At 46.7% G+C, this 11331-nt stretch overlaps 1 non-coding gene across 1 annotated transcript; it reads left to right on the forward strand.

The window, feature by feature from the left end:
- The first annotated feature begins 6651 nt into the window (after positions 1-6651).
- MIR8056 (microRNA 8056) lies at positions 6652-6733 on the forward strand. The gene has a single exon (NR_107023.1). It is a non-coding gene; the product is annotated as a microRNA 8056 (primary transcript).
- Positions 6734-11331: the final 4598 nt, after the last annotated feature.

The raw sequence follows: 11331 nt of genomic DNA on the forward strand, positions 1-11331 counted from the left end.
ATTCCAGAGGAGAATCTGATTGGCTCCGATCCCTACTCCGATGTCTGTGGTCATGTGGTGTGAACTGGAGCCCACCCTGGGACCCTGTGGGTAGGGTGGGGAGGGCGGTCCCCTACCACGGAGGCTCGTGGCTTCGTGGTACACAAGACACCAAAAGGCCCCCGAAAGTGTCAGCTCTGAAGATTTGGAAGAAAGTGTGGTAGTTCCATATGCCTGCCTCTGTTGCCATGCAGGAATTCTCAAGGTCTAGGGCTCCTAGGTCAGTTTCTGAATGGGAGGGAGCAAGCACCACAGAGAACAGCATGCGAAGTTTGAAAGTAAGGGAACAGTACAAGGAAGGCAGAAAGTAGGCGGAAGCCTGGCTAGAGAGTGACGCTCAGTCATGCCTGATCAAACATAGCCCAGGAGAGCCTTCCCTGCGGGCTCCTACGGGGGCTGTCTGGACCACAGGGCAGCAGGGGAAATGGCAGGCAGGTGGCTGTCATTTTCTCACGATGCTCCCCACCTTTAGAAGCACAGTCCTCTTGTGGCTTTCACTGCCACAGGAAGGTCACCAGGGTCCAAGAGGGACTTTTTAGGGTCCAGGTGGTGAGGTCAGAGTGGAAAGAATGTTTCTAGACTCCTGCATGCTGATCCAGGTCTCTTGAACCCTGTTTCTCATGCCCCGCACTGCGCTGTGCCTGCCTCACTCTCTTACGTATTGGTTTGCTCCATTCTCTGGCAGATCCCATGAGTCTCCACCTGTTCTTTGCAGAAAGTAAGATTCCTGAGTCAAGGCTTGCTGCGGAAACTCCCCTTTTGTGTGACTCTTAACAGTTCTGTATGCAGCAGAGGCTCTCGGCAGACATCTGTCCATCAAATGGAATTGGTTTGTGATTCTGATTTCTTCTCAATTAACAAAGGACCAAGGTGGGTCTACAGGATGGGTCTGTATGCAATTGATGTCAGAATCATTCAATCAGCACTCATTTGCTTACCACCTTTGTGGTTTTTGGCATATCTGCATTCCACCCCTGCAGTGACTTACTTTCTACTTTTTAAAAAGATTGGCTCTTTTTTTCACTTAGAAAATTTATTTTAGCAGGAAACTTTATACCATGACCGCACATGAAATCCAGTATCCAGACCCATAAATAGAAGGTGATCGTAAAATTAAATACAAAACTCCTAAATAGAAAGCATATGTCCATTTCTCCCTGAATCATCTCCAGGGCACCACAAAATGGACATTACACTCTGGGGAACTCTGACTTGTGTCGTGGGTGAGGATATGTTTAGGAAAATATTAACTGTCCCTGGCAAATTTCTGGACCTTGGGCAACTTCCCCTTCCATGAACTGTGGATGTGGTAGCCAGGGCTGCCACTTGCCATGTGTGGCTCTGAGGAGGTTGCGTGAGTGACCAGTGAGGGGGCCTCAGGAAACTAGGGCTTAGCCATCAAGCTCGACTTCTTGCCCTCCTACCCACTCTAGCCTCCTGCTGGGAGTAGAGCTCGCTCTCTCCTTCCCCCGTGAGCTTCGTCCTGAGAACAGCTGCGGAGGAGGAGGCTGAGTGGAGCAAACAGGAACAGGAACAGGGCCTGTGGAACACAGGCTGAGCAGTGGGCTTGAGGGAGGAGAGAGAATGAGGCGCAAATGAGGAGCTGGAATATGGAGGGTAGGGGACTGAGAGGTGCTGGAGGGTTGGCTCTACTGTCTTGCAGCAAAGACAAGGGTTTTGGCTGAGAATGAGAAGTCAGCAGAATATCTGTTTGTCTGTTGAGTCTTAAGGTGATGACTGGGTGGATGAGCCCCAAAGCAGTATTTTGGTTCTTAGGCTGCAGTGAGTGACCCTTCTGTATGACAAAGGAGTTTAGGAGTAAAAGGCAAGGTACCAATGTAAAAGCAATACGGGCCTGGCTGTGGTGACTCATGCCTGTAATCCCAGCACTTTGGGAGGCCAAGTCAGGAGGATCGCTTGAAGCCAGAAGTTCAAAACAAGCCTGAGCAACAAAGTGAGACCTCGTCTCTACAAAAATTAAGTAAAGTAAGTAAAAGCATTATGATGATTATTAAAGTGCAGACTTACTCTCTCTCAGTTGTTTGGATTTGGTTTAATTACCAGTTGGGATTTCAGCAGGCTAAGAGGTCAATGGCACCGTGCGTCATTGATAAACCTCCAAATGCCAAACCTGTGTTTCATGGTTCAGTACAGGTACAGAGTCTCATAGAGCTGGCAGGGACCTTGGTGTGAGGCATCTCCTCAGAGTCCCTGGGCTGAGCCACTTTTAGCATGTCTGGCATCCTCTGAATCTGAATGTAAACCTGTGGGAGGACCTTGCTGGCAGGTGGCCCGCTAGCTCCACAGGGCACCTCTAGAGGTGCTCAGGTTGCTGGTGCCTGAAGCTGCAACCCTTGCCCTTTGGATGCCAGGCCTCGGGCTCCTGTGAAGACATTGTGCTGTTTTGGGACCAGCCTTTGCAAGGATGTTGGGAACGAGGATGCCTGGTTGAGGGTCAGGAGAGGGCATCGCAAGCTCCTGCTTACAGGGTCATCTAGGCTGGTGTATTAGTCTGTTCTTGTATTGCTATAAAGAATTACTGGAGACTGGGTAATTTACAGAGAAAAGAGGTTTCGTAGGCTCACGGTTCCGCAGGCTGTACAGGAAGCATGGCAGCACCTGCTTCTGGGGAGGCCTGAGGGCTTTTACTCATGGCGGAAGGCAAAGCAAGAGCAGGAGCAAGAGAGAGTGAAGTGGGAGGGGCCGCACACTTGTAAGCAACCAGATCTTGGGAGAACTCAGTCACTATCATGACAACAAATAGCGCCAAGGGGATGGTGCCGACCCATTCATGAGAGATCCAGCCCCATGATGCAGTCACCTCCCACCAGGCCCCATCTCTAACACTGGGGACTACAATTCAACATGAAATTTGGTGGGGACACAGATCCAAACCACATCAGCTAGCTTGCTTCTGGGTGGGTAAACCAGCCACCATATATATAGCTGGGGCCTGTGCCTGAGTCCTGAATTTATCTCCTTGCCTTATGATTTTGGACAGGTCACTTAACCTCTCACACCTAAATTGACGGTCTAATTGGAATCCCAGCTCTGCCACTTGCTAGCTGTGTGGCCTTGGGCAGGTTATTAGCCTCTCTGTTCCTCAGTTTCTCTTCCTGTAGAATGGTGACAATTCTAGTACCTGTCTCTTAGGGTATTGTGGTAATTAAGAGACTTAACACACGTTAGTGTGGAGAGTCCCCAAGCCATGGCTGGTGTACACTCTACATAGAAGTGTGAGCTTCTGACATCATCTGGGGCTGCTCCCTCCCCTCTCCCTTTTGCACGAGGGAGGTGTGTGAAGTTGAGAACTCTGTTGGCAGTGTTTGCCTCCTCCTGAGGCTGCTGCCACACTAACCTTCTGCTCTGTCTCTTTTTTTTTGAGATGGAGTCTCGCTCTGTCACCCAGGCTTAAGTGCAGTGGCGTGATCTTGGCTTACCGCAACCTCCGTCTCCTGGGTTCAAGTGATTTTCCTGCCTCAGTCTCCTGAGTAGCTAGGATTACAGGTGTGTACCACCACATCCAGCTAATTTTTTTATTTTTAGCAGAGACGGGGTTTCACCATGTGGGCCAGCCTGGTCTTGAACTTCTGACCTCAAGTGATCCACCGGCCTTGGCCTCCCAAAGTGCTGGGATTACAGGTGTGAGCCACGGTGCCTGGCCTAACCTTTCACTCTGAACTTGAGCCTGGGTCTCCTGTATCCTGGCTGTGTGAGTATCATCTAATTTGCATCTGCTCCTCCCACTTCCTTTCACCTCTGTCAAGTAACAAGGCCCTGTGCGCCCAGTCCTTCCCCATCCTCCATGCACCTCACCCTTTCTCCCAGGTTACTGCTGTCTGTATCCCTGTTACCAACAACTCTGCTTTCAGGAACCCCTGAGCCTCCCGGTGCCCATCCTCCTAGGTGTCCAGGGACTTCCATTCAGCCTGGTGCAAGTCTACTCATCCTCTCCTGGGGCCTCTGCTGGCAGCCTCAAGGCTCCAGAGGGGCTGATTCCACATAGAGGAAACTCTCCTCCAGGCTGTGTCTCCCCCATCCTTGACTGCACCTGGTGCCGTCACATGCGGGAGAAGGCTTGAGGGCCAGGCTTGTCTTTATTTCTAGGGTCACTCCTAGCCCCTTGGCCAATTTCTCTGACCTTTTCTCTTGCACTCTTCCCTGGAGACTCCATCAGTTTCCATGGCACCAGCAGTTTTCTATCACTGATTGCCAAGTAGCCCACCTGGTCCCCACCTGTGTTCGGCGTCTGTCTGCATGTCCCCAGTGGTCTCAGTCAACATCAAGGGTCAGACTCCTCACCCTGCACTGGAGCTGGCTCTGTCTCCTCGTGCTGCTGCTTCTGCCCAGGGGCGTCCTTCATGTGGGGCATCCTTCCTGCGCTCAGTCCCTCCACTCCCCTCCCCAACCTGGGTTCTGGTCTTGCCCTCGGGTTTATAGAGCAGATTTCTCAGTGGCCTGTTCCTTCCGGCTCATCCTCAGACTTCCCAGATTGTGGTAGCGCCTGTATCATGGGGAACTTTTGGCAGCTCCCAGAGGCTGCGGCGTGGGTGGCAAACTTCTCAGCAGGGAGTTCGAGTGACTCCCAGACAGCAGGTCCTGCTTCATGGGCCCTGTTTTCATCCCGTGGCCATCAGCCCTCTGACCTACCATTTGTCTAGGCCCAGGCTGCACACCCTCATGCTGCCTTTTCTTGTTCCTTATTGGGAGGCCTCCTGTGATGGTTAGTTTTATGTGTCAACTTGGCTAGGTTGTTTACCCAGTTATTTCATCAAACACTAGTCTAGGTGTTGCTGTGAAGGTATTTTATTGACGTGGTTAACAGCTGCAATCAGTTGACTTTAAGTAGAGAAGATAACCTCGATGATGTGGGTGGACCCATCTATTCAGCAGAAGGCCTTAAGAGCAAAAGCGAGGTCTCCTTAGAGAAACTCTGCCTTAAGGCTGCAGCCTCAACTTCTGTCCGAGTTTTCAGCCTACTGGCTTGTCCTAGCAGGCCAGACTTTCCAGCTTCTACCATCGTGTGAGCCAGTTCCTTACAAGAAATCCCTCTCTCTCTCCACACTACCCCCACTGCCCCGCACATATGCAGTTGGCCCTTGAACAACTCGGGATTAGGGGTGCCCACCCTTCCTGCAGCTGAAAATCCAAGTATAACTCTTGACTCCTGTATTAGTCTGTTCTCATACCGCTATAAAGAACTACCTGAGACTGGGCAATATATGAAGAAAAGAGCTTTAATTGACTCACAGTTCTGCAGGCTGTACAGGAAGCATCATTAGGTGGCCTCAGGAAACTTACAATCATGGCAGAAGGCAAAGAGGAAGCAAGCACACCTTACCATGGCCAAGCAGAAGGGGAGTGAAGGGGGAAGTGCTACACACTTTTAAACAACCAGATATCGTAAGAACTCACTCACTGTCATGAACAGCAAGGGGAAATCTGCCCCCATGATCCAATCACCTCCCACGAGGCCTCTCCCCCAACGTTGGGAATTATAATTTGACATGAGATTTGATTGGGAACACAGAGTCAAACCATATCAACGCCTCAGAAACATAACTACTAATAGCCTACTGTTGACCAGAAGCCTCACTGATAACACCAACAGTCCATTAACATACATTTTGTATGTTATATACTGTATTCCTACAATATTATATACTGTAAAATATACTGTATTCTGACAATAAAGTAAGCTAGAGACAATGAAATTTGATTCTTCTGAGATAGTGTGAAAAAAGAAAATATTAGGAAAATTATAAGAAAGAGAAAATACATGTACAGGACTGTACTGTATTTACCAATACCGTAAGTAAGTTCTTACCATCTGTTTGCAAGATGAATTGTCTATCTGAAATGTCAGGCAGCTGTAGCTGCAGACCTCAATCTACAGTACATCTCAAGCAAGTCGGCTTTTTCTTGTGATGTCATGGCTTTTCTCTGCTTCTGGGGAGCACTTCCAGCATCATCAGTGGCACCTCGTATGGGCCCCATGGTGTTATTTAAGGTTGCACTAAACACAGTGAAAAATACACAGGTACCACAAGAGATCACTTTTTACTGCAATATGCAATTTACTGGAGGGATGAACTGCTCACACGTGGACGATTGGTGTCACAGTCACACAGCATTTTAAGTGGATACTCGAAACACTTGAGCTCATTGCAGAAGACAGAAGATGTCTATATAATTATCACAGCAGTACAGGATGTACTACAGTCAATTTTATGCAATTATTTAATATTACATCTTTACATTTGTTTACATTTCTCTAGAATGTGAATGTGCCTGTGGTCGATTTTGTATGTGTAAGTTTTGAGAAATTTTAACTTTTTATAATAGATTGTGTATATTTTATGGTAATAAGTGATTAAATAGACTACTATCTACATGTTTTATGCATTCATGACACACCTTTTTTGTTTTTTTGGTATTTCTAGGCTACACAGTTAGTGAGAATTTCAAATTCAAAAAATTTTCCAATACATTTACTGAAAAATGTCAGGTATAAGTAGGCTTATGTACTTCAAACCTGTGTTGTTCAAAGGTCAACTGTATTACTGGTTCTGTTTCTCTGGCAAACCCTAATTCACTTACCTCCTCTGAAGCCTTCTCTGAGCATCCAGCCTCTAGGAGCTGTGCCTCCTGGCCTATTCCTGTTCGTGGATTGTCTGGATGCATCCTTGAGACTTTGCTCATGCAGTGGCTGTGGAGTTACAGAGCTTCAGGTTGCACCCTCAGTGTGGTTCTTGAGGATAGGTACCCCTTTTGTACTTACTGGGCTCTCCCTCAGCTCCTAGGAGAGATAAACACATGGTAGGTGGTCACTTACTATTTGCGGAATGAATGCACGTGGTGGGACTGAGTGGTAAATCAGGGAGAGTGGTGATTTTAAGCTGATTAGAAACACATTCCTGGCCAGGTGTGGTGGCTCATGCTTGTAATCCCAGCACTTTGGGAGGCCGAGGCGGGTGGACCACTTGAGGTCAGAAGTTTGAGACCAGTGTGGGCAACATGGTGAGACCCTGTATCTACTAAAAATTAAAAAAAAAAATAGCTGGGTATGGTGGTGCGTATCTGTAGTCCCAGCTACTCGGGAGGCTAAGGTGGGAGGATCACTTGAGCCCAGGAGTTTGAGGCTGCAGTGAGCTACGATTGTGCCACTGCACTCCAGCTTGGGTGACAGAGCAGGAGCCCATCTCCAACAAACAACAACAGCAACAGCAGCAGCAGCAACAACAACAACAACGAAACAGTAATCTAAACAGTTGGTTTATTCTTTTGGTGTTTGAGGCCAAAGGCTCTGAAATAGTCCTTAACTACCTTTTCTTCTTATTCTCCCTCTTCCTATCTCCTTGCCCAGCATGGTCTCCAAACCTAAAACAAACTTATATCTTAGAGAAAATTAGGAGATTGGTAGGGTTTGAATGTGTGTGTCTTTCCAAAATTCATATGTTGGAACTTAACACCCAAGATGGGGATATTAAAAGGTGGGTCCCTTGGAAAGTGATCAGGCCCTCAGGGCTCTGACCTCATAGGTGAGATTAGTGCCATTTTTTTTTTTGAAACAGAGTTTTGCTCTTGTTGCCCATGCTGGAGTACGATGGCATGATCTTGGCTCACTGCAACCTCCGTCTCCCGGGTTCAAGTGATTTTCCTGCCTCAGCCTCCCAAGTAGCTGGGATTACAGGCATGCGCCACCATGCCCAGCTAATTTTTTGTATTTTTAGTAGAGACGGGGGTTTCATGATGTTGGTCAGGCTGGTCTTGAACTCTGGACCTCAGGTCATCCACCTGCCTTGGCCTCCCAAAGTGCTGGGATTACAGGCATGAGCCACCACACCTGGCCTGATTAGTGACATTTTAAAGGGCTTGGGGGAGAGTTTACTCCTTTTGCCCTTCTATCTCTTCCACCTGGGAGGATACGGTGTTTGTGATACCACCCTGGAAGCAGAGAACAGCCCTCAGCAGACACCGAAGGTGCTGAGGCCTTGATTTGGGACTTCTGAGCCTCCAGAACTGTAAGAAATACCGGCACAGCTTGTTTTATTGCACTTTGCTTTGTTGTGCTTTGAGTTACTGGTTTTTTTTTTTTTAAATATGTTGAAGATTTGTGGCACCTTTGCATTGAGCAAGCATACTAGCACCATTTTTCCAACAGCATGTACTCATTTCATGTGTCTGTATCACATTTTGGTAATTCTCACAATACTTCAAACTTTTTCATGATCTATGATGGTGATCTGTGATCATTGATGTTACTATTGTAATTGTTTTGGGGCACCCCAAACGGCACCCATATAAGATGGCAAACTTAATCAACACAGGTTGTATGTGTTCTGACTATTCCACTGACTAGCCATTCCCCCATCTCCCTTCTCCTTGGGCCTCCTTATTCCCTGAGATACAACAATATTGAAGTTAGGCAAATTAATAACCCTGCAATGGCCTCTATGTGTTAAAGTGAAAGGAAGAGTTGCATGTCTCTCACTTTAAATCAAAAGCTGGAAATGATTAAGCTTAGTGAGGATGGCAGGTCAAAAGCTGAAAGCTAGGCCTCTTGCACCAGTTAACCAAGTTGTGCATGTAAAGAAAAAGTTGTTGAGGGAAATTAAAAGTGCAACTCAAGTGAACACACAAATGATAAGAAAGCAAAACAGCCTTATTGCTGATATGGAGAAAGTTTGAGTGGTCTGGGTAGAAGATCAAATCAGCCACAACATTCCCTTAAGCCAAAGCCCAATCCAGAGTGAGGCCCTAACTCTCTTCAATTCTATGAAGGCTGAGAGAGGTGAGGAAGCTGCAGAAGAAAGGCTGGGAGCTAGCAGAGGTTGGTTCAAGAAGTTTAAGGAAAGAAGCCGTCAGTATAACATAAAAGTGCAAGGTGAAGCAGCAAGTGCTGACGGAGAAGCTGCAGTGAGTGATCCTGAAGATCTAGCTAAGATCATTGATGAAGTTGGCTGCACTAAACAACAGATTTTCAGTGTAGATGAAACAGCCTGATATTAGAAGATGCCATCTAGGACTTTCATAGCTAGAGAGGAGAAGTCAATGCCTGGCTTCAAAGCTTCAAAGGACAGCATGACTCCTTGGTAGGGGCTAATGCAGCTGGTGACTTTAAGTTGAAGTCAGTGCTCATTTACCATTCCCAGAATCCCAGGGCTCTTAATAATTATGCTAAATCTACTGTGCCTGAGCACTGTAAATGGAACAACAAAGCCTGGATAGCAGCACATCTGTTTGGAGCATGACTTACTCCACTGTTGAGACCTACTGCTCAGAAAAAAAGGTTCTTTTGAAAATATTACTGTTCATTGACAATGCATCTGGTCTCCTAAGAGGTCTGATGGAGAGGTACAAGGAGAATAATGTTGTTTTCATGCCTGCTAACACAACATCCATTCTGTGGCCCATGGATCAAAGAGTAATTTTGACTTTCAAGTCTTATTACTTAAGAGATATATTTTGTAAGGCTATAGCTACCGTAGGTAGTGATTCCTCTCATGGATCTGGGCAAAGAAAATTAAAAACTTTCTGGAAAGGATTTACCATTCTAGATGCCATTAAGAACATTTGTGATTCATGGGGGGAGGTCAAAATATCAACATTAACAGGAGTTTGGAAGAGGTTAATTCCAACCCTCATAGATGACTGAGGGGTTCAAGACTTCAGTGGAGCAAGTCACTGCAGATGTGGTAGAAATACCAAGAGAACTGGAATGAGAAGTGGGGCCTGAAGATGTGACTGAATTGCTGCAATCTCATGATAAAACTTGAATGGATGGGAAGTTGCTTCTTATGGATGAGCAAAGAAAGTGGTTTCTTGAGATCAAAACTATTCCTGGTGAAGATGCTGCGAACGTTGTTGAAGTGACAACAATGGATGTAGAGTATGACATAAACTTAGTTGATAAAGCAGTGGCAGGGTTTGAGAGGATTGCCTTCAGTTTTGAAAGGAGTTATACTGTGGGTAAAATGCTATCAGACAGCATCATATGCTACCGAAAAATCTTCCATGAAAGGAAGAGTTCATCAATGCGGCAAACTTCCCTGTTGTCTTATTTTAAGAAACTGTCAGAGCCACCTCACCTCTCAGCAAGCACCACCCTGATCAGTCAGCAGCCATCAACATCAAGGCAAGACCCCCCACCAGCAAAAAGATCACAAGTTGCTGAAGGTTCAGATGATTGCTGGCGTTTTTTAGCAATTAACTATATTTAAATTAAGATATGTACATTGCTCTTGTAGGCATAATGCCATTGCACACTAAACACACTACAGTATAGTGTAAGCATAACTTTTTTTTTTTTTTTGAGACGGAGTTTCACTCCTGTTGCCCAGGCTGGAGTGCAATGTCACGATCTCGGCTCACCACAACCTCCACCTCCTGGATTCAAGTGATTCTTCTGCCTCAGCCTCCCAGGTAGCTGGGATAACAGGCATGTGCCACCACATAATTTTGTATTTTTAGTAGAGATGGGGTTTCTCCCTGTTGGTCAGGCTGGTCTCAAACTCCTGACCTCAGGTGATCTGCCCACCTTGTCCTCCCAAAGTGCTGGGGTTACAGGTGTGAGCCACTGTGCCTGGCCTAAGCATAACTTTTATATGTAGTGGGAAACCAAAAAATCTGTGGGACTCACTTTATTGTGGTAGAATGGACCCGAACCCACAATATCTCTGAGGTATGCCTGTAAATTTCAGTTGTTTATAAATTACCCAGTCTAATGTATTTTGTTATAGCAGCAGGAATGGACTGAGACAGGCATGATGTGCTTGATCTTTCAGACATTTGTTTGAATGGTAGCTACGGCTTCAGGGTTGTCATGCTTAGAACTGCATCTTGTTCATGGCTACCTAATCACGTTGGGGGTTCCCGCCCAAGTGGCCATCCCTTGGGTATCTCCAAGTTGTTCCAAGTGGAAAAACCACAGCTGTGCCTATGTAAATCCAAATAGCTCAGTAGACTGTGCAGAACAGCGGCATCCCGAGGACACCTCCCTAGTATAGGCTAACCGCTTCCATGTCCCTGGTGACATTTTGCCACACGGCCCCGGGGCCACAGTGAACATTCACTTAAGAAGTCTCTGCCTTGAGCTAGAGAACTTTTCAGTTGTAACAAAAGCCAAAGCCTTCCTGGGATTTTCTGTTAAAGACCCATCCATAACCCTGTTTTACCTCTGCTAGGATGTTTTGGAATTGACAACCCTCATGCTTTCTCTTTTAACCAAAAACACCACCCTCGTTGGTGAGTGAGGCAGAATGAATGAACACAAGGAGGGCATTGCAAATG

Source organism: Homo sapiens, chromosome 5 (genome assembly GCF_000001405.40).
Source record: "Homo sapiens chromosome 5, GRCh38.p14 Primary Assembly".
NCBI lineage: Eukaryota > Metazoa > Chordata > Mammalia > Primates > Hominidae > Homo > Homo sapiens.